General features: G+C 52.6%; 1 protein-coding gene across 6 annotated transcripts in view, besides 12 other annotated features; it reads right to left on the bottom strand.

The window, feature by feature from the left end:
* MDGA1 (MAM domain containing glycosylphosphatidylinositol anchor 1) overlaps positions 1-10,534 on the bottom strand; it is a 67,205-nt gene extending 56,671 nt beyond the window's left edge. For 5 of the 6 annotated variants that reach the window (XR_926141.3, NM_153487.4, XM_017010734.2 and 2 more), the window contains exon 1: positions 9,396-10,534. Coding sequence is in view for 4 of the 6 variants with exons in the window: in NM_153487.4 (NP_705691.1) it covers positions 9,396-9,462 (67 nt within the window). In the remaining 2 variants the exon portion in view is untranslated. Of the gene's footprint in view, positions 1-7,040; positions 8,959-9,395 lie in introns of those variants that run through there. The other variant, XM_047418637.1, reaches the window with a different exon arrangement.
* Positions 8,428-9,157: an enhancer, noted in NCBI's record as "H3K27ac-H3K4me1 hESC enhancer chr6:37663553-37664282 (GRCh37/hg19 assembly coordinates)". NCBI's record gives its function as "activates a minimal SCP1, AML or CMV promoter by ChIP-STARR-seq in naive H9 embryonic stem cells {active_cell/tissue: H9 hESC(naive)}" and the evidence as "EXISTENCE:reporter gene assay evidence [ECO:0000049][PMID:30033119]".
* Positions 9,158-9,887: an enhancer, noted in NCBI's record as "H3K27ac-H3K4me1 hESC enhancer chr6:37664283-37665012 (GRCh37/hg19 assembly coordinates)". NCBI's record gives its function as "activates a minimal SCP1, AML or CMV promoter by ChIP-STARR-seq in primed H9 embryonic stem cells {active_cell/tissue: H9 hESC(primed)}" and the evidence as "EXISTENCE:reporter gene assay evidence [ECO:0000049][PMID:30033119]".
* Positions 9,158-9,909: a biological region, named in NCBI's record as "H3K27ac-H3K4me1 hESC enhancer GRCh37_chr6:37664283-37665012".
* Positions 9,430-9,589: a silencer, noted in NCBI's record as "silent region_17145". NCBI's record gives its function as "represses an Ori minimal core promoter by ATAC-STARR-seq in GM12878 lymphoblastoid cells {active_cell/tissue: GM12878}" and the evidence as "EXISTENCE:reporter gene assay evidence [ECO:0000049][PMID:35858748]".
* Positions 9,620-9,909: a silencer, noted in NCBI's record as "silent region_17146". NCBI's record gives its function as "represses an Ori minimal core promoter by ATAC-STARR-seq in GM12878 lymphoblastoid cells {active_cell/tissue: GM12878}" and the evidence as "EXISTENCE:reporter gene assay evidence [ECO:0000049][PMID:35858748]".
* Positions 10,090-10,149: a silencer, noted in NCBI's record as "silent region_17147". NCBI's record gives its function as "represses an Ori minimal core promoter by ATAC-STARR-seq in GM12878 lymphoblastoid cells {active_cell/tissue: GM12878}" and the evidence as "EXISTENCE:reporter gene assay evidence [ECO:0000049][PMID:35858748]".
* Positions 10,210-10,339: a silencer, noted in NCBI's record as "silent region_17148". NCBI's record gives its function as "represses an Ori minimal core promoter by ATAC-STARR-seq in GM12878 lymphoblastoid cells {active_cell/tissue: GM12878}" and the evidence as "EXISTENCE:reporter gene assay evidence [ECO:0000049][PMID:35858748]".
* Positions 10,400-10,469: a silencer, noted in NCBI's record as "silent region_17149". NCBI's record gives its function as "represses an Ori minimal core promoter by ATAC-STARR-seq in GM12878 lymphoblastoid cells {active_cell/tissue: GM12878}" and the evidence as "EXISTENCE:reporter gene assay evidence [ECO:0000049][PMID:35858748]".
* Positions 10,490-10,619: a silencer, noted in NCBI's record as "silent region_17150". NCBI's record gives its function as "represses an Ori minimal core promoter by ATAC-STARR-seq in GM12878 lymphoblastoid cells {active_cell/tissue: GM12878}" and the evidence as "EXISTENCE:reporter gene assay evidence [ECO:0000049][PMID:35858748]".
* Positions 11,486-11,555: a silencer, noted in NCBI's record as "silent region_17151". NCBI's record gives its function as "represses an Ori minimal core promoter by ATAC-STARR-seq in GM12878 lymphoblastoid cells {active_cell/tissue: GM12878}" and the evidence as "EXISTENCE:reporter gene assay evidence [ECO:0000049][PMID:35858748]".
* Positions 11,576-11,645: a silencer, noted in NCBI's record as "silent region_17152". NCBI's record gives its function as "represses an Ori minimal core promoter by ATAC-STARR-seq in GM12878 lymphoblastoid cells {active_cell/tissue: GM12878}" and the evidence as "EXISTENCE:reporter gene assay evidence [ECO:0000049][PMID:35858748]".
* Positions 18,227-18,486: a silencer, noted in NCBI's record as "silent region_17153". NCBI's record gives its function as "represses an Ori minimal core promoter by ATAC-STARR-seq in GM12878 lymphoblastoid cells {active_cell/tissue: GM12878}" and the evidence as "EXISTENCE:reporter gene assay evidence [ECO:0000049][PMID:35858748]".

Genomic DNA, 27,393 nt, shown 5'->3' on the forward strand with positions numbered 1-27,393 from the left:
TTTGAGACCAGCCTGGGCAACATAGTGAGACCTCCATCTCTACTAAAAATTAAAAAAAAAAAAAAAAAAGTTAGCCGGGCATGGTGGTGTATGCCTGTAGTCCCAGCTACTCACGAGGCTGAGGTGGGAGGATTGCCTGAGCCCAGGAGATCGAGGCTGCAGTGAGCTATGATCACACCACTGTTCTCCAGCCTGCAAGACAGTGAGACCCTGTCTCAAATGAAATCAATTTTGCTGGTTTTACATTGAATTGCTACTTTGTTCTCCAGCTCTGAAATTTTCACTTTCTTTGGTTTTTTTGTAATAGAGACAGAGTCTCACTATGTTGCCCAGGCTGGTCTGGAACTCCTGGGCTCAAGTGATCCTCCCATCTCAGCCTCCCAATGTGCTGGGATTACAAGTGTGAGCCACAGCACCTGGCCTCACTTTATTCTTAACCAAACAGGAAAGAGAATAAACAAAAGGGCCACATTTCAAAAAGGTACCATAATTTACCTATTAAAAATCAAAGAAAACTGTGTTTCTGAAGGAGACTCCTTCAATCTCTCTAGGTTTGGGAAGCCAAACCTAGAGAACCAAGGGAGGTCCCTTGGTTAGAAGCCAGAAAAGGGGCCAGTCTCCTGGGCTCTTGGCCTGGACCCTCCAGTTAGCACCATTGAAGTAGAAAGCCTCCTTGCTCACAGTTTAGAAAATAATCAGTGGATTTTGTTTTTTTCCCAAGACTCCAGGGTTCAGATGAACTTTGTTGAAACTAAGCTTGGGCAGTAACCTGGAAAACCAGGAAATGCCCTCAGAAAGTCCAAGGGAAGAAGACATCTGTTTTGGTCTGGCTTTTTCAGACACACTGTCTACACCAGCTGTGCCCAAGAATCATCTAAACAGCTCTTACAACCACAGATGCCTTGATGCCACCTGCAGGGTTTCTGATTCAGGAGGCCCGGGGTGGGGCTGGGCATCTGTTGTTGAAAAAGCTCTCCAGGTGGTTCTGACATGCGCCAGGGCTGAGAACCACTTTTCTACACAGCTTCCAATCCTCCAGATAATTAATGTATCTCGGCTGAGTTTCTGGGCCTGGAAAGGAACCAAGAAGAGCCTGGGGTGGAATCTTCAAAGCCAGCCAAGCAGTGCCCTCGAGTCTGCTCAAGCCACCACCCAGCCACCAAGGTCACCCACCCCTGCAGCTCCAGCCTTTCACAGGCAAAAGGCTGGGCTTGGGGAAGGGGAGCTGCTATTCCAGCCTCCCTGGCCTGCCACATTTCTCAAAAGCACAGCCTATACCTCCTGTTGCCACATGCCACCCACACCCGGAGCTCCCTGCCATCTGCCTGCCACCCTCTCTGCTCTCGTGAAACGGAGTCCCCATAGTTCACCTTCGAGTTTACAAAGTGCTATCACTCCTGGGCTTCTCTGTAATCCCAAAAGGTAAGCGTGCCTAAACCAGGCTTCACATGGGGAAACTGAGGCTCAGAGAGGCGAGGCCATTGGGCAAGGACCCTCAGAGGCAACAGGCTGCCCACCTGGCCCTCCAACCCGAGTCCAGACTTCTTACTTGAAGCCCTCATTTTGCACAGCGCAATCCCTGGTCTAGCAGCATCGGCACCACCAGATTCACGCAGAATCTCAGCCCAGCCCCAGCCCCGCTGAATCAAGAATCCGCATTTCCACAAGATCCCAGGGGAGACTTGTGCACGGGAAAGTTTGAGGAGCCCCACTCTGTGCTGCAGCTGCCCCGAGCTCCCCAGTCCCCCGGTGGCCCTTTCTCATTCCTCCTCCTCCTCTCACAGACTCTGTCACAGACCCTCGGGTCATGTCCCCTCTCAGGCCTCCTCCCGCCCCCTAAACATTGGTGCTCCCCAGGGCTCTGGCCTCAGCCCAATCCCTTCTCTCTACTTTCTAATCCCTGGCAATTTTATTCCACCTCATGGTTTCAACCCACATCCTTCTGCAGACATAAATCCAGATGTGCAAATCTACCTCTCCTGAGTTGATCTCTCTCCTGAGCTCAGTGCTCATTGTCCACCCGATTTGTCGATATCCCCCCCAGACATGCCAGTGCCAGAATCCCATGAAGTTCAAAACTTCACTCACATTGTCACTAAAACTATTTACTGAGGCCTTGCTACGTGCCAGGCACTGTGCTCAGAGCTTCCTAAGCACCGTCTCATCACAAGCCCACGCAGTGAGTACGATGATCTCCATCTGACAAGCGGAGAAGCCACGGCTTAGAAAGCAGATGTAACTTCCTGGGCTTTTACAGCTGGTGTGGGGCAGAGCTGGGATTCAGACCCAGGTTTCTTATGCAGAGGTCGAGGCTCTTAACTACTTCACTTCCCCAAACCTGTCTGACTTCCAGTGGCTTTTGTTCAACCTGTTATCACTGTGTGCCAAGTCTCCCAGCTCCAAACCTCAGAGCCGTTTGCAGCTCCTATTCCTTGCCTGAACTCTTTCCGATACACTTTTAGTGCTTAATGATGGTACAATCTTGTGTCTTGCCTTTTGCAACAGCCTCTAACTGGTTTCCTTCCTCCACCCTCAAACCCCTACCATCTATTCTCTACATGACAGCCAGAGAGGTTCTATTAAAAAGGTGTCAGTTCATGTCCCTTCTCTGCTCAAAACCCTGCCATGGTCCCCTATCTCATGCAGAACAAAATCCAGAATCCTTTCATAGCCTTCAAGGCTCCAAATGATTGGACCTACTAACTCTCTGGCCCCACCTTCTACTGCACTCCCCCTGGCTCATTCTGCTCCAGCCACATTGGACTCCTCACTGTTGCTCCAACAGGCCAGGGCCTTTGCAGCGGCTATTCCTCTGCCTGGAACACACCTCCTGCAGATGCCCACAAAGCTCCCTAGGACTCCCCTGGACAACTGCAAAGCCTCCTGACAGTCTCTCCAGCACGGCCTCCTCCCACACACAGCGGCATGGCTACCTGGCCCATAATATGGCTTGCATCAACCCAGCTCCCTGTTTGACATCCTCCTTACAGCTTTGCAATGAGCAGTTCTGGGTTCAAGTCCAGGTCTGCCACTTGGACAAGGGACTGATAAATGACTTTCTCAAGGAGTTGTGATGAGACTGAAGATAATGCATACTTATGATCACAGGCTGGACAGTCAATGTTAGCAATGTTTAATATTATTCCTGGCCAGGCACAGTGGCTCACGCCTGTAATCCCAGCACTTTGGGAGGCTGAGGCAGGCAGATCACAAGGTCAGGAGATTGAGACCATCCTGGCTAACATGGTGAAACCCCGTCTCTACTAAAAATATAAAAATTAGCTGGGTGTGGTGGAGTGTGCCTGTAGTCCTAGTTACTCGGGAGGCTGAGGCAGGAGAATTGCTTGAACCTAGGAGGCAAAGGTTGCGGTGAGCCAAGATTGTGCCACTGCACTCCAGCCTGGGTAACCGAGACTCCACCTCAAAAAAAAAAAAAAAAATCCTTTACTGTTCCAGCCCTAACGGCCCCAGTTCCCTTTCAGCTTATGCTCCAGCCCAACTGAACAGCTCACGAACTCCTCACACACTCGGGTTCCTTAGCTTCCAGGCCTTTGCCACAATGTGCCCTCCACCTGGAATGCCCCTCTCAATCCTTACTTCTATTTGTCAAGGCCAGTTCAAATGCTCTCTTTTCCACAAGGCCTTGGAAGCAATTACTTCAACCTTCAAATTCTCACAACCTTTTATCCGCCCTTGCTACATGACATTTATCAAAATCTCCCCCTACCTTACATGTGATTCCCCTTCTCCTTCCATCTTATTCATCTCAGTAGCCCTGCCAATGTCCAGAACTGAGTCTTACTCAAGGTAGAGGCTCAGTGAACATTTAATGAATGATGAGTGAAAGGAACACCACACTGCTTTCCTTCCCTGCAAATCAGAAGATCCGGTGGGACTGAGTCTTAGGGCTACTTCTTACCAGCTGTGCAATGTTGATCAGGTCACTAAAACTCTTGGAACCTCAGTTTTCTCATCTGTTCAATGGAGACAATAGTACCCCTTGTGCTGACCTCTCAGAACGTCATGGAAGCAAAGGCTGCAGAGGCATGAAAATGCCTGGTAAGTCATGTGGCACTTACACACTTATAAGGGATTGTTGTTCTGACCAACAATCCTCCCTAAAAGGTTCATTCCCCCTCACACAAAAGGATCCCTGAAAAAACCATGACCAAACGAATGGTGGGTTATCAAGTGAGGTTTACTTTCTTTCTTTATACTTTTATGTATTCCTTGATTGTTTTGCAAAGAGCACATGTTACTCATAGTAGTTACTCATAGTGTTATTCATAGACTTGAGGAAAAATGAGATTTCATTGTTGAAAAACAAAAATATTCATTCCTTTGAGCTAAGCCTTGCTCTTGCCTCCTGTATCAGCATTTAAATACCAGAGAAGCCCCTTGGTACATAGTACCTTCTAGCAGCAGATGTATGCTTGCAAAGCAGGGTCTTCTGACCACAGGGAGAAGATGCAGAAGAGGGGCCATGCGCCAGGTTTATACAGAGGCGTTTCTGCAAGGGCACAAGCACCCCCATTCCCCTTGCCACAGCCTTACCAGAGCAAGAGCCCACTAGGCTAAGCTGAGCCCCAGCATCCAGCTGGCGCCTAGGGAAAACCTGATTCATCTGAGATTACAGCAAGTGCGGCTTTGGCTACGGGCAGGTGCCTAGGGACACCGGGGTGGGTACGTGGGAGCTGGAGGGAGGCTTGGAGTTCCAGAAGGCCCTAAGGAACCCTTTTCAGCCCCAGGTTGAGGAATGAGCATAACTCATCCCTCAGATAGGGTGAGGCCCACAGGAGCCCAGGAAAGGCAAGATGCAATGTGGCGGCCAAGCCCTCCCCCTGCTGGCCACATCTGGAACGGCAGCAGCTGCCGCACAGGGCAGGGCCCGTAGGCAGTTACACACACACCCGATACCTGGGACCGTGTCAGGCTCAGATGTCCGGAGGTGGGAGGTGAGGCAGGGCTCTTCCAGGACTGAGAGGCCCAAGACTTCATCTCCTAGGTCCTCTGTCTTCACCGGGTGGGTCATCTCCTAGCCCACCTTTCATGAGCCCAGCCATGAGATGAAAGTGGGGAGGGGGGCAGGGGGGAGTGGCAGGGACGTGGGGGCAGTGGTGTTTGGGGTGGGGGTGTCTTCCACATTCCTGCCTCTGTCTCACTCCTCCCAGGCCCTCCCCCATGCCTCCTGGGCAGCTGGGAGAAGCTGGGGCTGCTACCACTGCCCGGATTTCCACTCCCGCCCCCAGGTATTGATTTCCTGCATCATTCATTTGCCGGGCCTTGGCGGCTGTGATTAGCTCCCTCCATTCTCCCTACAGATTCCACCCCCCTTCCCCCCCAGCCTGTCCCTCCATGTTCCAGCAAAGCAGAGCTAATATACCAGGCTCTAAATGAGGCTTTGCCACCTTGGTCCCAGCAGCTCACAGCCAGGCCTAGCCAAGTAGCTCTCAGCTCTCCCCTGCCCACCCCCTCAAGGATGCTTTCCTGCTAACAAAATCCTCTCTAACCGACCTCCTCCCCTGACCTAGAGCCCCCGCCCACCCATGAAGCAGATTCCCATCCTGTAATGTCGGATGGGACATCATGAGGATCTTGACCCTAAGGCGGGGGCTCTCCAGCCTGACACCAAGGGTCTGGGGACCCCTCACACTGGCTAAAGGGCCAAAATCAACTTGGGATGGGGAGGTAACACCAGCAAAGCAAACAAAGCAGCTTGGATTTGTGGACACAAAGTGCTCCCCCTCGCTTGTGCAATTTCTGTAAGTGAAAAGAAAGAAGGAACAGAAGCACGGAGCTTCTCGAGGACAAAAGAGAACCCCAAGCCTCTGTTAGCCCCAGGAAACCAAAGTTTCAAGGCATGGGGTAGGAACTCCAGTGAAAAACCTCAAGTGCCCACACCCAGATCAACACCCGGGAGATGACACTGGGACACTCACTTCCTGAAATTCCTTCTCCGTGCTCCCCAGAGGAGGGAAAAAAACCTGACTTAGTGATAATTCTGTAAGCTGTGTTGCTCTTGTCAAATTATTCAACATCTGTCTTCATGTTCCTACAAAAATTAACATAGGATAGTAGTTTCTGATGACACCTTTGGTGAAATATTTTGACTTCCACCAGTAAGTTGCAAACAACCTGTCTTAAGGATAATGTCAATTCCCACTTCTGCATATTAAATAATTCAGGGGTTTGTTGTGTTTTTGTAAGGGAGAGGAATCCCACTGACCTGCGGTCCGACTGCTATGAGAGGAGCAGAAGCCGGGACAGAAGGCGGGGTGTTCCCTGACGCTATCCGCATGCAAGATATTCCTCTTCCATCACTTGGCTACTGCCTTTGCCCCAGAACTAGGCCACTGGGGCCAGCCCAGCCCCCTGGCTTGCCAGAAAGCAGATTACAGGATCCACCCCAGAGGACAACAAACTGGGCCAGGAGATTGGGAGGCGAGGAGGGAGGGAGAACTGGCTCCAAATGGACCATCTGGTCCAGCACTTGGCCGTTGTAGCATCTGTGCCCCAAAGAACAAAGCCACCTGGCCAAACTGAGAGTGCTGCCTCCCCAGCCCTATTGCAGACCATGGATCCTAGGGCAGGTGGTGGACCTCAGTGGGAAGCAGGACATAGGGTTCTAGGCACCTACCTCCTACCAGCCTCAGCAGAGACACACAGCCTAGGCCGAATGCCGTCAGGTTCGCTCTCCACCGCCTGCTCGTCTTCCTCCCCTCTGTTCAGCCCCTCCCTTATCCACACAGGTCTGGGGGCAGAGGGGCAGGGGCAGGGGATTCCTCCCCAGGATATACATTTTTCTCCTATGTCTTGAATTAGACCTGCTGCCTCCCTCCCCAGTGCCAGGGCAATACTAGGCTTCCAGCCTCTTCTCTCTTCTAGGGCTGCAGGATAGGACTCTGTGACTCGCCCTAAGCAGAGACCCTTAAACAATGCCCCCACTGCCCTGCTGGAAACCAAGTCCTAGAGAGACTTCTCATGGAGAAAGAATTTCCAACCTGCCCCCAACTATAGCCCTTTCTTCATTCAACAAATACCTGCCTAGCTCCTGCTGTTGTGCCGGGGACCATGCTGGATGCTGGATGCAATGCCAGGCTGGAGTGGCCATCCCTGGTCCCTATGTGCCGCCTTCACTCTCATGCTGTTTCTTCTGCTTCGCGGGTACAGAAAGACTGCTGGGGAGGGGGGCAGAAGAACTAGTCCCAGATCTTCGACCTACTTCTTAAGCCAGTCCTGGTCCTACAGAGATCCTCCCTTCTGCTGTATCTGGCCAAAGATTCTAGCATCACAAGGAACTCAGCGACCTCCTGTCATCCTCCTCCTCCTCCTCCTAAATCTTCTGCCTTCATCCACCTCAATAAAGACTTTTTACCCAGCAATTTCCCTGAAGCCCCAACACTGCCTGAAGCCAAGCTCTCAAAGGAAAAGTGGCATGTCACCCAAGGGCCCAGGGTCGGCCCCAGCACACCCAGCCCACTTTGATTGGCTCTGAGTGAGAGCAAATGGGACCTAGGCACAGGCGGGAGGGGAGAAAACACAGAGAGAAAAGGGTATAGATAAGCCTATGGCTGAATCCTGGCCCTAGAGTACTCTGAAATGAGGGTCCACAGAGACCACTGCCCCTGACTCCAAACCCCACTCTCATTGCTGGGTTTACTAGACTAGGAACAGAGGAACCTCCCAAAGATGAGCCCCAAGCAGCCTAGAGAAGGCTGGAGAAGCTGGAGGGGATGGAGGACAGGGATGACCAGGAGTGGGTCTTGCCAAATGCACCCAATGACACAGGGAAGGAGGGTAGAGTGGAGGACAGCAGCATGCAGGAAGGGCTCTCCATCACCCTCCCCAGCCCCGGGGCTGTGGTGAGAAGGCAAAGACCTCAGCAGCACCTCTCTTAGGCACCTTGACCTGGGGAGAAAGAAGAAAGTGAAACCCCAGTCCACTGGCATCTTCATCTGCCCTGGAGAGGCCAAGGCCTCCAGTACCTGCCCCGTGGCCTCCTCGCCCCAAACCCAGCCTCTCCCAGTCCCTGCTGCATTCTTTCCTGCCTTTCCTGGCCTCTGTGAGGGGCCAGGCAGTAAGAGACACACAAACTAATTAAGAAGCAGAGTTTGGCCAGATGCCTGGGCTAGTCTTACCAGAGAATTAAGGCCAAGCCAGCTAGCTGGGCAGGGCCAGGAGCATGTCACCTCTCAGACACCCTTCAGGACACCCCTTCTTCTTGCCAGGCACAGGCAGATGGGTCAGCACCCTCCAGGGTGCTTTAGCCTCAGCACCTGAGGCTGGCAACCAGTAGTCAGTGCCTATACTACCCCACAAAGAACAGGTCAACCTCCCCTGGATCTAAAAGAGGAATCATTAGTCCCTCCACCCAACAGAAAAGGAAAGAGAGAATCCTGCCCGCCCCAGCCACACATCACTAAAAAGGGACCTGGACAAACCATCCTGCAGTAAAGAGAAAGCAAAGTAAGGGCCACTGGGCCCCTGAGAATGATTTTTTGTGCTGTGGGGTTAAGGCACTGCGGGAGGCTGAGCCCAGGTGACTGAATGGATGATGCCTGCCCCGGGCCTTCCCTGGGAAAACCCACAGGATGGAAGGGGGAAGGGGTAACCAGAGTCTCCCTTGGTAACCACAGCGAGGCGTGCGGACGCAGGAGCAAGGCTGCGTGGCAGGAGGCAGAGTTTGGACACGTATCCCGGTGGGTGCGTGCCGTGTTTGCGTTTTCTGGGGATGGTGGCTGAATGTATCTGTGTGTGCGCGCAGGAAGGAAGGTGGGGTTGGGGTTTGTAGCCAAGAACCGGGGACAGGAAGAACTGGTTCAGGGAAGGTCCGAAAAGGGATGCCGGGGTCGAAGGCGCCAGGGCCAGGGGATGCCGGCATCCTGATCAGGGTGTCAAGCCCTGAGTAGAAGAAGCGAAGCCGCAGCAACAGCGGGGAAGGCGAGCCCGCCGCCCGGCCTTGGTGCTGACAGCCGGCTCGCCCGCAAGCCGCGCGGCAACTCCGGCTCATGCATCGCTTGGCTTCCACTCCGGAGGCCGAGCCAGGACGAGGTTTCGGTGCAAGTCGCTGCACCAGTCCTAGACTGGGTCTGTCCGGGTCTCCCGAGCCGACCGGGTGCTCTCAAGGGTTCCTAATCATTCCCACCTCTAGCAGGGTGTGGGAAAGTGGGTGCCTCCTCCTGACATCCCGGCTTCCCACCAGACCCTACGACCGGCCCCTGTGTTCCGAAGCAGCTAGCTCGGTCTCCACGCGCCCTGGAGAGGGCGGGGACGCGGGCATCCACTCCAGAGTCCGAGTCGAGGTCTCCACCAAACCCCGGCAGCGCGCACTTTGCGCCTCTTGCAAAGTTTCCGCGCGAGGTTAAGCCAAGGTGGAGCGGGACGCGGGCTCTTACCGTAGACTCCTTGTCCCCGGCAGTGGAAGGGGATCAGCGCCAGAAGTAGAAGGCAGGTCACCTCCATCTTCACGGCCGGTGCTTCATCCCCGCGAGGCGGCGCAGCCCGAGAGGCGGCGGGGGGCGCATTCGCCGGGGCCCCGCGACGCCCCTATGTCCCCCCCTTTCCCTGAGAGGTGAGAGAGAGAGCGGCGACGAAGACCAGGAGACTGAAGAGGCGGAGGTGGCGGCGACCCGTGTTTCTCCTCCGGCGGGGCCGCTGCCCGCGTGGGGACGCAGGGGGCGCTGGCCCAGCCCCGGGTGCCTCGGCGCGCCCGGCACAGCAGCCAGCGCCCCGACCCGAGGAGCCCGGCCGCCGAGCCGCCCCGGGTACCCAGGGCCGTCCGCGCGGGATGCTAGGCGCCGGGGACCTCTCGGCGGCGGAGGCGGCGCTTCGATCCAACAGGCCACGGACGACTGACAAACTTGTCGTTTCCCCGCACTGGGGCCGCCCCTCAGCGGAGCGGAGTCGGGGAGGCCGGGGCTCCGCTCGAGTTAATCAATCTGCTGTTTCCAGTCCTGCGGCCGCTGCCGTGGGCTCAGCGGCCCGACTCCAGGGGGCCGGGCTGAAAGCACTCGCGGCGGCGAAGCAGCCCCGGGCCCGGCCCTCCTGATCCGGGGAGCAGCGCGGGCTGGGTTCGGCCGAGGGACGAGCGCCGCGGGTCCCCGGGTCCGTGAAGTTAGCCGAGCCGCCGATAAACCCGGGGGAAGAATAGCAGCCCGGCGCCCCGCGGGAATCTGGAGAGCAATTCCAGGCAAGAAGGGCCCCAGAAAACGGGGAAAGGAGGAAAGTTTGAGTCTTTTGAAAAATATTCGCGCTCTCGCCCAGGCCGGGGCTGCGGCGCGGGCGCCGCTCGCCGCCTCCGCTCGCCGCGCTCCTCTCCCGCCGTCTGGCCGCGGCCGTAGCCCTCCCGGGCTCCGAGCTCTCGGGAGAGCGGGGCTACGCCGCGCCCCAAGTTGGTCGTCCCCGCCCCCGCCCGGCGGCCTTGGCCTGCGGGGGCCCAGAGCGGGCGGGGCCGGGCCGGGCTCCGGGGCGCGGCGGCCGCTCGGCTCCGGGCCGCGGGAGCGCTCCGCTCGCTCAGCAACTTGGGCTTTGCTGTGCTGCTTTTTCGCCCCTCCGAGCTTTTCATTCCGCGCTCCTCCCGCCTCCCTCCCTCTCTTCCTCCTCCCTCCTCCTCGCGTCTCCTCGTTCGGTCTCTCGCTCTCCCACCCGTTGTCGCTCGCTCTCCTGTTTGATTCCCCTCCAGTTAAAAAAAGGAGCCAATTAAAGGCAGCCCAGCTCGCCTGGCCCAGCCTCTGTCCAATTTCCTCGCCTCCCCCAGGACCAATTAGAGAAAACAAAACAGGGCTGGGGGAAGCTGACTGCCTGCCTTTCTCTTTCTCTTTCTCTTTCTCTTTCTCTCTCTCTCTCTCTCTCTCTCTCTCTCTCTCTCTCTCTCTCTCTCTCTTTCTCTCTCTCTCCTCTCTCTCTCTTCTCTCTCTCCTCTCTCTCTCCCTCTCGCTCTCTCTCCCTTCCTCTCCTCTCCTCTCTTTCCCTTTCTCCTCTCCCTCTCTCTCTCTTCCTCTCTCCGCCCCCTAACATTCCCCCCCAACCCCGCCCAGCAGGAAAATGTCAGAAAGCAGAAATGGATCCATCTATCCCGAGGACAGTGGCGGAGGGACCTGGGTTTCGGCGGGGGCTCTGCAGCCGCGCGCTCGCACACTCGCTGTTCTCCAGCCTTGCACACCCAGACTAGCTGGCCGAGCCGGGTGCACCGTTGCCAGCAGCCCGCGGGGCAAACACGGCCGCTCGCTTCGGAGACCCATGCCCGCAGGGCACTGCACACTTCGTAAATGTTTTGCACTTTGGGGAGGCGGGACTGAAGCGGGGGTCCTAGGGAAAGGCCGGGCGCCTGCGGTTCCTGGGGTCCTGCAGCCGCGCGAGACGGGCCGCGGCTGTGGGTCTGCAAGGCTGTCTGCCCGGCTCGAGAGGCCCCCGCCCCTTTCCAGGCGTCTGGTGCTGGGGCCGGGCCGGAGCAGCTGGCGGAGAGGTCGCGCTGAGAGCTCCTGCCCTTGCCGCGGCCCACAGGTTGCCAACAGGTTTGCTCGCACGACCCCTCCGCCAGAGCTTCCCTAAGTCACCCCACATTTTCCTCGGCTAGCCACTCTTCCCATCTTGCCTCCCCTCGGGACCTCAGGCGCCCCCAAGCGCCCCGGGGGCACACCTCCTTCCGGCTGCCGAACCCGAGCCCCGCTCCAGCGGCGGGAGTCCGGCACTCGGGTCTCAGCCGCCTCGAAGGGGCCCTCGCGGAGCAGGAGTGCGGAGAACGCTCCTCCCAAACGCCCGCGGGGAGGGGCGTAGGCTGGCAAGCGAGGCTGGTGGCCTCCCCCGCGCCTCCGATCCCGCCCCGCGCCCAACCCGGGTCCTGCTAATCTCACCTGCTCCACCTGTCGCCGTTATTTATCTCAGCGTGTGCGCAAGAATTGTTTTAGGTCGGCCCGTGGGAGCGCAGACAATCGCAGCAGCTAACAAGCGGGGAGACTACGAACCCCCCCTCCCTTCGCCCCCTGGAACTGCTCAATATCTTGATGGTGGTTCCACGGCTCTATGCATTTGTCAAAACTCAAAGATCTCCACACTCCAAAAAGGTTAGTCTGCATATAAATTGAAACATAAATTTTTTTAAAATAATAATAATGAACCGTCCCTTCCCCAGGCCCATTTCCTGCTGGGTCTCTCCTCCCTTGACTCTCCAGGGCTTAAGCCCCACCGGAGCGCGCGCTCCTGACTGCTGGAAGAGGAGCGGGAGGTGTCGGGAAGTGCCTGGTGGCATGGGGGGGTTCCACCTTCCTTTCTCAGCCCCCTTTCTGTCCATCTCAGGAAGCCCGAGAACATCCGAAGATTCCTATTCTCTAGCCCACCTCCACTCGTTTGCGCCTCCCTTGTGCCCTCTTCCGTCTTTTCTCTCCTTTCTACCCCGTGGGTCCAAGGCTGATAGGAAGTCCAGACTCAGTGCGGTGCTCCCAGCAGATGCCAGCTGCAGACATGTTCAGTGAATTCACGAATGATGCCCATCATGGCCAGATATCACAGACCTGGGATACCCTCAGGGTAGCCATCCTTTCACTCCCCAGCCCCGGACTGTTACCTCAAAGGCAAAAAATTCATTTTCTGTCCCACAGAGATACACAGCCACCATGCCTCTTCCCGCCTCCCCCATCCAGTCAGAAAAGGAAGTGGTGCCAATTGAGGGAGTGATGAGGGATAGCTTCTTCTATTGTCATCCTCTTCCCATTATTAGAGGGTTCCTGGAAGTCTCTACCCCTTCCAGGAAGCTCTCAGGGAGTGATCACAGCGACTGTGGCTCTTCCTGGCTTTGCCCATTCTGAGCTGAATGTGTACTTCTCCATGTCGTGCGAAACTGCGCTCTGATTTTCCAATTAGCTGTTCCAACACCAAACAGCAGTCAATTGCTCCTCTTTGGCTTTGGGGTGAGTTACTGGGGACAGAGAACTGCACTGACTCAGCTGACATTCTCTTGACTTTGCCCTCTCTAAACTCACACACTAGCCTGGAGGAGAAAGAAGGTTCATGATGGCGGGGTGGGGGGAACAGAGGACCAAGTTAGCCAGGCTGGGATTGAACATTTGCTGTAGCTAATCCACTTGTGAATACTCTGCAGCTAATTGTATGCAGTGTAAATACCTTGACAGCCTGTTTGTGTGTGTCTGTAAATTCAGCTGTCTCCTCCCCCAAGTGTGCCCTGCCTGCTGCCTCAACACAGCCCAGTGTCTGACAATGGGAGGCAACCTCAGAGAAGGGAAAGAGCCCTAGACATCAGTCCTGCGTCCCAGTCCTAACCTCTCTAGGCCTCAGTTTCCCCAGATGTAAACTAGGTAAGATCCCTGTCTTCCTAGAGAGAAGTGGAGTAATAAGAATAACAGCTGACACCACATGCCAGGCACTGTATTAACTATTTAATCTTCATAACCATTATGTAAGACAGGGCTGTTATTCTCATGGAATGACATAGGAAGATGTAGTGACTCACTCAGCTGCTAAGGGGCCAAACTGAGCTTTGACCTCAGTAGCTTGGCTCGGCGACCTTGCCCTCTCCCACTGTTCTATACTGAAGAGGGGCAAGGGCCTAGGTATCAAATAATGTTTCCACAAGAACTGTTTCCTGTTCCCTTTACAGACACAGAGAACAATACTCTGGCCCCCAAATTGCACCAAGGGCAGGGGGGACATGAGAGCTAGACTGCTAGACCTGACATGGGCCATAGGGCACAGGATGAGCCTGAGGTCAGGCTATCTGGAGGCTTGGTGGTCAGCACCCAGCTGCCAAGTCTTCGGTTCCACTCAAGATCATTCTAGGTCACTTCCCACTAGAAAAAAAAATATATATATATATATGTGTGTGTGTATATATATATATATATATATATATATATATATATATATTTGCCTCAAAGAAAACCTAGCACTTGGGCCCCAGGAGGTTTCAGGAACTCGTTGCTGACCACAAGCCAGGGGCCAGGGAACCAGGGGCTCCAGGCATTGAGCAAGCAGGGCAACTGCGGTTTGTTGTGAGAGCATGTTACTAGAAAGCTCTCCCATCTCCTCCTGCCACTAGCTCGCCTCCGGCGAGTGACAGCCTGGAAGAGGAGAGAAAGAAAGAGAGAGAGAGGAAGAGTCTTTGCTAGATGGTGTTGTCGCCTTGTGAGAGAAATTGTCTCTGAAAATCATACAGTGGCAGGTATTGATTCAATCTCATTGCAAGACGCTTTCTGGTCATGTGGGGGAAGGATGACTGGGAGGGGTGAGGAACGGGAGAGTTATGACCCCGCTGAAAGACCAGTTTATTAATTCGGGCTCTAACAAATAGCCAATTAATGGCTTCAGCTGCTAATTAGCAGGCAGTTAACTCCTATTATAAACTGTGGTGGCTCAAGACTGGTGAGAATGCAATCCCACCATGATACCCGTGGAGAAAAGGGGCCCTGAAGATGCATGTCACTCACGGTTTGTAGCCCACACCACCCCCCTCCTCATCCCACACCCCCAGCAGACCTTCTGTTGGTAGAATGCAGGCTGCATGGGAGCAGGGACCTTGTCTATATGTTCACCATTCATTCATTTAACAAATATTTAATGAGTGCTTACTATGTGCCAGGCACTGCCCTAGGCACAGCAGACTCAATGTAAATAAATCAGACAAGAATCCCTGCCTTCATGGAGGCTATAGTCTAGCGAAGAGACAGACAATAGACTACACAAATGGGGAAAATACGGTATTTGGATAGTACAGGGTATGAAGGAGAACACTAAAGCTAGGGAAAGGAGTAGGAAATGTAAGAGCTGAACTGTCAGAGAAGGTACCCAGAAGGACCCCACTAACATTTCAGTCATGACCTTTAAGATTAGAGGGACCGAACCATGCCAGTATCTAGGGGGAGGACATTGCAGAGAGAGGGGATGGCGAGGACAAAAGGCCTTGCGGTGGTGAGGAGGACGTGGCTGCAGCTGAGAAGGTGAGGGGAGAGTAGGAGGAGCTGAGATCAGAGAGATTTAGGGGGCAGGTCATTCGAGTCTTGGGATTATTGCAGGATGTTGGGTTTTACTCTGAGCGCAATGAGAAGAGCTATGACAGGGTCTTGTGCAGAGCAGGGAAGGGATCTAACTTTACTTAGCAGGCTCACTCTGGCTGCTGTGTAGGGAATAAACTGAAGGGGGCACCACAGTATCCTCAGCAGCTGGCCCTGTGCCTGGCCAGTAGTAGGTGCTCAGTAAATCCTTATCATATGAGTTGATTAATGAATATTAATGGGGCTAGATTGCAAGACTAGGAACCATGCCCACATTTGAAAGGCCGATTTATTTAGATTGTCTTGTAAATTACAACCATCTCCATGGGTGCCCTCAAATTTGAACTTTCCAAAGAATTCCACATCCATTATCCTACCTGGTCCTTAAAATGTTCCTGTGAGGTAAGTTAAGACATGTGGCCCCCTCCATTTTATAGATGTGAAGACTGAGGCAAGGGGACATTCGCAGACTGGTTTAACAGAGTGTGACAGAAGTGACCAGTTCTAGAATCTTAGGTGTGGGGAAGAACGCAAAGGAGACAGGAGTCCCTCTCCCACTTCTGGCCACTATGTCACGACTACACCCTGACTCATTATGTGACCTTCCCCTTTTGGCCTCTGGATTCTCATTTCCACAATAAGCACATGTGCCTGGACCACCTCTGAGACTGCTCCCAGCACTAGACTCCAAAGCCTTGTGAGCTCTCTCCAAGGCCTGATATCTGGAGCCATCATTTCCCAAGTGAGGGTCACCTGGGCTTCCTTTGTCTACACTAATGTTGGAAAAGGGGAGGTTTTGTTTAATTTTTTTGAGTTGATGGTTCAGTAGATCACAAGTAATTTTGTTTTATACTGATTTGAGAAATTTATGGTCTTCCCACTCTGAGCAGGTGTAAGGGACACTGGTTTACCAGGCTCTGCTTCCCCACTGGGGTGGGTCTGGGAAGAAGCAAATGGGCTGGAAAAGTGGAGTTCTTTTGACTCTTCATTAACTTAACAAATATTCATGGACCCAAGCATTGTGTCTATATAATCCTGGGCACCCCATTGTGCTGGAGGCATCCAACAGCTAAAGACACAGCCCTGCGCTCAGGTAGCCCAAGTCTGATAGAGGAGACAGCCCTGGCCCTAAGGGCCCGTAGTCTGATGGGGGAAGACTGCTATTACAGGGTTACAGATCCTGGAATACAAATGGAGCCAGGCTATAGATCTAGGGACAGATAGATATACTATAACAGCAACCAAGTGTTCACTACATGGGTAAAAGTGAAGAGGATGGAGAACTAGGAAGGCACTGGCTGGTTACTCTGATTTCTAGGCTCTTACTGAACATTTTGTTTTTTTTGTTTTTTTTGTTTTTGAGACAAGATCTCACTCTGTTGTCCAGGCTGGAGTGCAGTGGTGCAGTCAGAGATCACTGCAGCCTCAAATCCCCAGGCTCAAGTGGTCCTCCCACCTCAGGCAACCAGGCTTGAAAAAAAAAAAAATTTAGCCTCCTGAGTAGCTGGGATTACAGGCACCCACCACCATGCCTGGCTAATATATATATGTATATATATTGCATTTTTAATAGAGACAGAGTTTCACCATGTTGGCCAAGCTGGTCTCGAACTCCTGACTTCAGGTGATCCCCCCGTCTTGGCCCCTAACCTTTCTTCAAGCCTGGTTGCCTGCAGCTTTCCAAATTTCAGCCAAACCCAAGGGAAGTAGTCTGTGTTTTACTTGGGTATTTTCTCCTAATGCAAATGTCTTTCTGGGCTCCTGGGAAAGAGGCCTGTTTGAAGGAAATACTGTTAAGCTGGCATGCAGCCGTTGGCACCCACAGGGAAGAGCACCCTCTCTCTGGAAGCCAGGCTCCACCCCAGCAAGAAGTCCCAGCCCCATCTGACTCCACTGACCTCCCCTAGGGAGGTATCTCTGACTAAGCAGACTACAGGGCACCTAGAGATCAGCTCCTCTCCAAAGGCCCCACCTGCTACTCTGGCCTCATGAATGACACCCCTCCACCCCAGGCTTAGAGTGGGCATTCGTTCTCTGTGCTTTGTTTCCATGTGTGCTGTGAGCTCAAGGGTAGAGTGAGTGTCCTGCTCATGTCTGGACTGCTCACAGTACCCAGTGCCAAGCTGAGCACACAGTAGTTATTTGATTTATGCTCATTAAAATGAACTGTGGCAGGGTGTGGTGGCTCACGCCTGAGTTCCCAACACTTTGGGAGGCCAAGGTGGAAGGACTGCTTGAGTTCAGGAGTTTGAGACCAGCTTGGGCAACACAGTAAAACCTTATCTCTAAAAAAAAAAAAAAAAAAAAAAAAAAAAGTCAGAAAATTAGCCAGGCATGGCGTCATGCGCCTGTGGTCCCAGCTACTTGGGAGGCTGAGATGGGAGGTTCCCTTGAGCCCAGGAGGTCAAGGCTGCAGTGAGCCATGATCACACCACTGCACTCAGCCTGGGTGACAGAGTGAGATCCTGTCTCAAAAAAATAAATAAAAATAAAATAAAATGAGCTGAGTTGGTTACACTGACTAACTCAAACAAAAGTAGGCTTTGGGCAAGACCTAAATTACCAGGATAACGGAGGCCCAAATTATCCAGACAATATGTAGATTACGGACAAATACAAATAATGAAGATCGAAGACATGTTTGAGTTATGTACAGGCTGAAGGAAAACTGATTCTCGGGGAAGGGAAGCAGGCAGGTGAGGCCCAGGGTTTCTGGGAAACCCCTGTGTAAACAGTGGCAGGGGGTTAGCAACCCCCACTGCTGCTTCCTTCTGAGATGCTGTCTGGGAGGAGAGGTCTGAATCAGGTGCGTTCCTAGAGGCATGGGGGCTCTGCCAGGCTGAGGGTGGCTCTGTCCTCAGGCATCTGCTCCCAGGCCTCAGCAGCCCCAGTGGAACGCATCAAGTTTCGCTGAGCTGGTCTTTCTAACTTTCTCCCCGGCAGCTCCGCGGGAAGCAGGATCAAATGTTCTCCAGCCTGAAAAGCCCGGCTGGGGTGTGAGGAGAAAGGAGAAGGGGAGGAGGGGCGGCCAATCTGCGGTATTGGAAGGGGAGGGGCCGGGGCCGGGCCCCAGGGACAGGCCTCGTGACTCTCCTTGCTCCCTTTCTGTTTAACCCTCCCAGCCAATTCTTTTTCCTTTAGCCATTAGCTCTTTTTGATCCACGTAAAAGGGGGTGGGGGGCGGGAAATCTGGCGTGGACTTGGAGGCGTTCAGCACACCCGCGACCGCTGCGTGGCATAAACTACAGGGGGCGCCATTCACATAGGATACGACAGACATGGCGCCCGCCCCCTCCGCCCCCCCAGTACAACGTGGGGGCCCTGCTGCCACGCCCTCGGGTCTGACCTGACCCCAGGACAAGCTGGCGGGTCATCCTACCCTGTACCTCACTTCCCTCGCTCCTTCTCTTCCCAACCCACCCCCAAGCCCCCGCCGCCAACTCCTGTCTTGGCCCCTCACCCTCCAGGTCGCTCTTGTTCTGGCCCCCACTCCTGCAGGCCACGCTGCGGATGGTTCAGAGAGAGACGGGGGCGGGGGAAGGAGCCATCGGGCCTTCTCCTGCGCATGCTCGCTGTGAGACGAGCGCTGTGAGCCCTGGGGACTCGCTGCCCTTTTGATTAACTCGTCTTATTACGTGGCTCTCCCGGCTCTCCTTGGGGACCCTCCATGCCCACCATCCCAGGGGGCCTTTGGGATCCATGCCTGGCACGGGCTTGGAAGGAATCCCCAGGCACCGGCCCACTCAGTCACTAAAGGATGATCCGGCCTGCCCATCTGTCCCCCTTTTCATCCTCTAACCCAAGGTTTATCTGAAGGAGCGTGCTACAATTCATAAGCATCAAATGCCCATAATAAAGGCCATTTGCTTTCATGACCACCTTTGTCATCTTCATTTTAGAGGGGCAACTGAGGAACAGAGAGGTTCAGTCACAGATAGCTAGTAAGTTGTGTTCAATCGAACTAGAGAATCTGGCTCCAGAGTCAGAGTCTATACTCTTCACCACTACTTGGTGCTGCGTCTCACGAAGAAGTGGGGCCAAAAACTGGCACACTAGAGCTGCGCTGGCCAAGGCATAGCTACTGGTAGATATTTATGTCAGTTTCTCAGTCACGCTGGCCACATTTCAAGTGCTCACAGTCACACTAGTGGTTACCGTGTTGGACAACAAAGATATACAACATTACCCTCATCACAGGAGTTTTATTGGACAGCAGTGCTCAGAAGTCCTTAATTTTTATCCCAGCACTACTGCTTACTAGCTGAGCGACCATGGCCGGTTACCTAACCTCTCTGTATCTCAGGTTCCATAAGAATGGTGCAAGGCCAGGCATGGTGCCTCATGCCTGTAATCCCAGCACCTTGGAAGCCTGAGGTGGGAGGATTGCTTGAGCCCAGGAGTTCAAGACCAGCCTGGGCAACATAAGGACACCTCATCTCTGTGAATCAAAAATTTAAGAAAACTAGCCAGGCATGGTGGCACGCACCTGTAGTGCCAGCTACGTGGGAGGCTGAGGCAGGAGAATCCCTTGAGCAGGTCAAGGCTGCAGTGAACCATGATCAAGTCACTGCATTCCAGCCTGGGCAACAGAGTGAGACCCTGTCTCAAAACAAGAAAGTGCCAACCTCATAGGGCTGTTAGAAGGATTAAATGAGAAAATGTATATGAAATGTGCTAGGCATAGTGCCTGGCATATAGTAAGCATACTAAACATTATTATTTTGTTAGGAATCATAAGCCAGTCCTTTATTTAACAAAGTGGGTAGCTAAAGACCAGAGAAACTAAGGAACTGCCTCAAAGCCACACAGCAAATTAAATGCCAGAAGCTGAGGCTCCTCATTCTTTTTTCTCCACCACATGACCTAATGATATCACTACAGCCAATAAATGACTTCCGAATTTGGCCCTCTCGAAAATGTTGTAAGGTGGTTAAATGAGGTTTCATCAACCTTACTGTACAGATTAAGAAACTGATGGGCCCGGTGCAGTGGCTCATGCCTGTAATCTCAGCACTTGGGAGGCTGCGGTGGGGAGGCAATTAGAAGTCAGCTGAGGGCAATGAAGTTAGGATGAGGGGACAGAGGCTGGGTACCAACCCATCCTACTAGAGCGGATATGACATGACCCGTTTATTGTGTCTTACCCACAAAATGGAGCTTCTGTCAGGGAGGATCTTTGTCATGTTCACTGCTATATCCCGCATAGCTTAAAGGGTGCCTGGTAATCAAGAAATGGTTGTTGACTGAGTAGATGCCCATTTTTCAGATAAAGATGGTAAGGCTCAGAGATGTGAAGGACTGTGCCCAAGATTGGATTTATTCATACGAGAGGAATTTACTGAGCATCTACTTTGGGTCCACATGTCGAGTCTCTCTGACTCCAATTCCTGGGCTTCCCTTCAATACCTCCCATCTCCAACCCGCATTCTACAAAGGGGAAGGTAGGGCTGCCCTGACTCCATCCTATTCCCCCGGCACGTAAGTGCTTCTCTGTCTTTGGTTGACCTGGCAAGGAGAGGCCTGAGAAGCCTTAAATTAAGGTTCAGGCATGAGTTGTGTAGCCAGGATCTATGCTGAAATTTTATTTTGTGTTTTCCCATTGCGCTTGGAATAACGACCTTCCATCTTCCATCCCAAGAAAAGAACTGAAGCCAGAGTCTGAGTCGGGTTTTTTGTTTGGTTGGTTTTTTTGGTGGTTGCAGGGGCGGGGTGGGTTGCCTCAAGTAGCTTTGGGGTTTGTCGTCAAAGCAGAGGGATGTCCCGACTCAGTTAGGTTTAGGAGGTGGAGGTCTCCTGATGGAGAGTAAAATGGAAGGAGAAGGGAGATGGGGCCTCCCCAAGCTGGAAGCGACAGAGATGAGGCCTTTGTCTGTGTTCCTCTGGCCTGCAGTGCCAGATGGGGTTGTTTGTGTGCTGAGGCCCTGAGGGTCTTCGGGGTCCTCCTGTGGTCATCGAGAGAGCTACTGTGAAGACCTCTCAGAGTGTGTCCAGGGCAGCAGGGCCTGCCTGAGGCCTGACCCAGGGTTCAGGAGCCACAGCAACAGGAGTCAACTACCATGGCAACCACAAGGCACAGGGCCTCTTTTCCTGGGTCCCAGATTCTTCTGTGACCCTAGAGAATCCCCCTGAACATAACTAAGGCTGATTTCTCAGCACTGTGGCAATTGGAGATTTGGAATCAGAATTTATGTGACTTCAAAAAAAAAAACACAGCATGACATTTATTGCATGCAGATGTTGCAGAGTAAATTCAAACCCACTCCAGTGCAGAGGGATCTAAGGGCCTCTGGATGAAGGGGTCTGAGCTGAGCAGCACACACAGGAGGCCTCCTGGAGGTCTGGCCAGGCAAGGCCAAACCCCAGGTGAGGCCTGACTGCCTGGCACAGCGAGGAAGCTGCAGGGGAAACACAAAAGGAACTTAATTTTAAAAAAACCATATTTGAAAATAACATTTATTTCTGATTGTAAAAATAATACATGCTGCTTGTAGAAAACTGGAGAGAAACAGAAACATATAACGACAGAAATGTAAATCACCTATAATCCCATCACCCACGGTAATCATTAAAATGGTATTATCTGTCCTTTCCATCTTTATTCTATATGCAGGTTTTTACATAATCGAGATGATATTTACATTATTTATACAGTTTATATTCTATCTATAGAGGACAACAGGTCCCTGAGCTCTGCATGATGAACAAATGAGCAAATGAAGAACACACATACAGATTCTCTCCCACACGCTCACATGTTCATTTGCACAGACCGTGGGGAATGAAACACGGGAAAGAACATTAAACAGTAATAAGTACCAACCTGCTACTAAACAGCATCATGACCCTGAGGACCCTCTCTGTGCCTCAGTTTCTTTTCTTTTTTCTTTTTCTTTGAGACAAGTTTGCTCTGTCACCCAGGCTGGAGTGCAGCAGCAAGATCCCAGCTCACTGCAGCCTCAAATTCCTGGACTCAAGTGATCCTCCCACCTCAGCCTTTCAAATAGCTGGGACCACAGGTGCATGCCACCACACCTGGCTACTTTTTAAAATTTTCTGTAGAGATGGGGTCTCCCTGTGTTGCCCAGGCTGGAGTTGATTTTGGGAGGACCCCTTGAGCCTGGGGGTTTGAGGCTGCAGTGAGCTGTGATTGCACTGCTGCATTCCAGCCTGGGCAACAGAGTGAGACCCTGTCTCAAAAAAAAAAAAAAAAATAGTGCCCACCTCATAGGGCTGTTAGAGGGATTAAATGGGAAAATGGGAGGATCACTATATGTCTCTGCCCAAGACCTTCTTTGCCTGCCCACATAGCAGCCAAAAGGGCCAGGGCCCCTGAGGTCCCCAGGAGCAGCCCTCAGAGAGTGACTCACAGGAGCCGCATAAATACCAGCTCCCTCACCCCTCAGGCAGGATGTCCCAGAGGGCATGCCCTACACTGTCCCCCAGAGTTCCCCAGTGAGACCGAGCTCCAGCTCCCCACAGTGGTAACTGGATAAATATTGCACCCCTTATGGGCTGCGTTCCCTCCCCTGTTTCACTTCCCCCATTCTCCTATGGGTGTTTCTTGGAGTCACCAAATACCACCTGCCCTGCAATCCTTGTCTTAGGGCCTGCTTCTGGGAAAATCTAACCCAAGACATCAGGTGATGATGGATGCCAGGAAAACAAAATGATACTAGGGCAAGGGGGTGGAGAATGAGGGATGATATCACTTTAGGCAGGGTAGACAGGGAAGGTCTCTCTGGGAAGCCAAGTGAAGTGAGTAGGGAGACAGATGAATAGCTGGAGGCAAGGGCGTTTTAGACAGAGGGAGCAGAAGGTACAAAGGCCCTGAGGTGGAAACCCCTGGAGGAGCGGGATGTTAATGACACCCACCCAGCCAGGCTGTGGAGGATTCCTGGAGAGAGTCTGTGCCAACTGTAAAGCCCTGGGCACTTGTAAGCTATTGGGGTGCTTTAAATCCCCTCTTGCGTGACAGCTCTCTTCAGAGACTCACTAAACCTCCTGCCCAGCCTTGGCTGCCATGCTCAGCACCTCCCTCTCTGTGCTCACCCAGCCTATTTGGCCTGGAGCAGGGCTTGGTTTTTCCAATAACTCATTAGTGTGGCTTTTGTCATGATTGAAGAAACAAAACCCCCAACAAGAAAACTGCATTCAGCAGCATTACAGGTTATTTATGAGAGAATGTGAAGCAGCCTTGGCATTGGGGGAAGCCTAGGGGAGGCAGGAGGACCTTCTGGGTGGTGGGCTGTGACATCTTGGATCTGCCTGGTGCCGGCCACCAATGCCTCTGCCCAACAGATATAACCCCCTCTCTCCTGCCCCCGCCACCCCGAAGCCAGCCATGAATCACCACTGCTCTAGCCACTTAATTGAATTTTACCTACCCACCCAATGCCTCATTCATTCATTTATATAATCATTTATTCATTCAAACATGCATTGAGGGCCTACTATGTGCTAGGCACTAGCTGATGTTAACATTTATGGTTCAGAGAGATGAATCAGCAGCTGTGTACTCTAAGTCGTACCAGCTCACAAGCTGGCAGCATCTCTTCTCAATTCCACGTTCAGGCTACAAAGCAAGACCTTTCCCCCAGACAGGTGGTTGTTGAACACTTACCAACACACCACTGTAGCAGGCCCTGGTGTCTCAGGCCACACAAACTCAAACCATAGTGGCTGACAGTCTAAAACAGAGAAGGACATTGATCCAATTTATGGTGTAACACAATCTGGCCCACCCAGATTTGTTGGCCTCAAAGCCATCCACAGCTACCACACAATCGCCTTTGCAACCTAGGAGCACACCAAGAACAGAGGAATCAGTTCTATCATGCGAGACCTAGGAAGGCTTAATGAAGGAGACGTATTTGAGGCTGAGGCTTTGAGGTGAGATGTCTGCCTCAAGGGAGGGTGTTCCAGGTGGTGGGGACAATTTAAGCAAAGGTCTGGAGGGAGGCCAGGCAGAGCGTGTTCACCCCACCTAGATTAAAATGCTGTAGGAGGGAGTTTTCCCCACTTGTTACCTTCCTGATCATACCAGCAAAAGTGAACTGCTCTCCGGAGGAAAAAAGTGATATTGCAAAAGCTGGGCTGTCAGGGAGGGGCTGCTGTTAGAACACCAGGTACTGAGAGATAAGGATGCCTCTCCTCTTCCTTGCTTCTCCTCCCAGCCTCCCCCTCATCACCATTCCTTCTCAAGGAAAGGCCCGACCTGCAGGAAAAATGGCTGCAGTGTGTGAAAGGGGCAGCCAAGAGGCCACCATTGACCCACCCTCAACACCATCACCATTGGCACCACCAGCATATGCCACGGTATATAACCACGGCAACCTGGCGACGACAGTCATCCTGTCATCACTCCCTGTGGGGCTCACTGGCACTGTTACTCGGCCCCTACAGACCTACATGCACAGGCTTGGCTTACAGATATCAGGACAGACACCCAAACAGACCAAATGCTCTAAAGGACTCCAACTACATTTACTGAATGTCAGAGGAGGTCAGGATAGAATTCATTCAAGAAGCAGGTTTCCCAACGAAAACTTCATACCTGCCACCTCCTGACTCTGGAAGTTAGGGGCTCCCCCTATGTGTGCATGTCCACACATATATACACACACACATGCAGAGGCAAGAGTACATCCAGGATGCAGCAGCATTGAATGCCACACTGTTCAACTTGAGATAGGAGAGGCATGGGGGAGGCCTCAGTCTATCAGCCTCAATCACTCCTCCCAGGCCTGGTGAGCTGGTGCCAGCCCAGGCCTGGCCCGCATCCTCCCAGCCACCCTGCCAACCTCACCCAATTGCCTGATGAGGGCCTGAGCTGTCCACCAGTTCAAGGCAGGCTCCCACTCTCCTTTACCAATCCATTGCTGGAGGACGACTATACACCACCTTTGTAGAACACTCCACAGTCCTCAAAGGGCAGTCACGTATTCGCTCATGTAATCGTGGGAACCCTGGGATGTCATTAGGGTCTCCAGTCTATAGAGGAGGAAACTGAGGTTCCGAGTGACTGGAGATGCAAACACAAGCACCACTAATCCTAATAACTAAGCTTTACGGGTTCCATGTGCAGCATTATCTCCCTCCACCCTCATCACAGCCCTTTAAGAGGTGCTATGTTTATCCCCACTTTCCAGCAAAGGACCCTCAGCACCGTTTCTGTGGTGAACAAGTTCACTGTGAGCTCCAGGGTCTCCCTAGTTGGCCCAGAACCTTGGCCCCTGCTTTTATCCTTGTCACACTGCCCCCTCATGAGCTCATCCATCCCATGGTTCTGATTACCACTCAGTGACCTGCAGACAGTGTGGCGTGGGGCCAGGAGCATTTCTCTGGAGTCTGACTGCCAGCTTCTTAGCTGTGTGACCTTAAGCAGGTTACATCACCTCTCTGTGCCCCAGTTTGCTTGTCTGTAAAACAAGGCTAACAGTAGTAAACATAAGAGCAAATTCTTCCAGAGTGCTTATTTTGTGAGAGGCACTATTCTACACCAATTACAAGTATTAACTCTTGAATCTTCACCACATCCAGTGAGGTAAGCCCTTAGCCCAGGGCCAGGAGTGCTGCCTGCACTTGGTAATTGTTGGCGATGATGAGCTGTATATTCTGGCTGAGCCCCCTGAGGCTGCCCAGCTATCTGCTTAAAACACAACCCTGGCTGGGCACAGTAGCTCACTCCTGTAATCTCAGCACTTTGGGAGGCTGAGGCAGGAGGATCACCTGAGGTCAAGAGTTCGAGACCAGTCTGGCCAACATGGTGAAACCCCGTTTCTACTAAAAGTACAAAAAATTAGCCGGGCGTGGTGGCGGATGCCTGTAATCCCAGCTACTCAAGAGGCTGAGGCAGGAGAATCGCTTGAACCCAGGAGGTAGAGTTTGCAGTAAACTGAGATTGCGCCACTGCACTCCAGCCTGGGCAACAGAGCAAGACTCCATCTCAGAAACAAAACAAGACAACAACAACAACAAAAAAAAACCACAAAACCCCATTCCTTCTCCCATGTTTCTCATCTTGGTGAATGGCTCGTCATTCTCTCATCACCCGGGCAGACGCCTGGAACCTAACCTTGGGCTCTTCCTTTCCTCTCCAAATGCACATTCAAATTCAGCAGCTCTGCCTCCTCCAACTCTCATCTCCTCCATCCTTCCATCCATTTCCTGTTCCCATCACTGAGGCTTCTGAGGCTTCGGTGCAGCCCTACTCATTTCTCCCCTGGATTATGCAGCGGCTTCCTGCTTCCAGCCCACACATGTTACAAGCCAACCCCCTGTGCTGGCAGAGGAGACTTCTGAATCACAAATCCACTGAAAATCCCTCTGTGTCCCTCCACAGCCTACAGGATCAAGTTCAGACTCTCCAGCTTAGCACCAGTGCTTGTAGGATTTGGGCCCTGCCTTCCTCCCCTCTGCTCCCAGCCCACGCACTGCAATATGGCCACTCTGGGCATGCCAGTTCATTCCTCTGGCCCTTTGCACATGCGGTTTGCACAGTCTGGAGTGTCCTGCCCATCCTCCTTCATCTGACCAGCCCCCCACATCCCTCATGACTCAGCTCAGGCAACATCTCTTCCCAGAAGTCTTGCTGGAGTTCCACTAAATGCTTCTCCTTCATGCTCCTAGAATAATACTCTTAACTCATTGAAATTATAATGACATTATCTGTGTGTTGTCCCACCAAACACAGATGTTGCCTGGAGGCAGATGGTTAAAAGCAAGTATTGCAGTCAGATGGTCACAGGTTCTGATTCCAGCTCTACCGTTTACTAATGGTGTGATCTTAGGCAAGTTACTTAACCTCTTTGAGTCTCAGTTTCCTGATCTCTAGTGATAGGAGGCGAATGGTAGTACCTGCCACAGAAAGTGGTTGTGAGACTCTTGATGTAGCAGGAAAAGTGCCAAGCACAGTGTCTAGCTCAATCCAAACACTCAATAAATGTTAGCTATTATTATCTAATATAAGATTCTGTCTTTTTCATCTTCCTGTTACTATTGCCAAAAATATGGCCAGCCATGTGCCAGATAGTTAATGTCTTTTGAACTGAATCAAAGTGAAATAACTTGGAAACAGTTTCTGTCTGAATCAGGGTTTCTAAGTTGCAAGCAACAGAAATCACACTGGCTGTTTTATGCAGAAAAGGAATTTACAAAGGAAATCAGGTAGTTCACACAATCTCTAGGAGGACCAGAGGATGAGGCCTGGAAACCACAGTCAGGAACACAGTGTCCAAATGACACCCTAGACCTGTTGCTGTGGATGCCCATCTACCCCCACAACTGGCACAGACTCTGCAGCCTATACTACTGACACTGGGCACTGAACTCTAGAGATTGTCCCTAACATTTGGGAGGCTCAGGGAAAGAGGACAAATGGAGACTCTCATGC

Source organism: Homo sapiens, chromosome 6 (genome assembly GCF_000001405.40).
Source record: "Homo sapiens chromosome 6, GRCh38.p14 Primary Assembly".
Classification (NCBI taxonomy): Eukaryota; Metazoa; Chordata; class Mammalia; order Primates; family Hominidae; genus Homo; species Homo sapiens.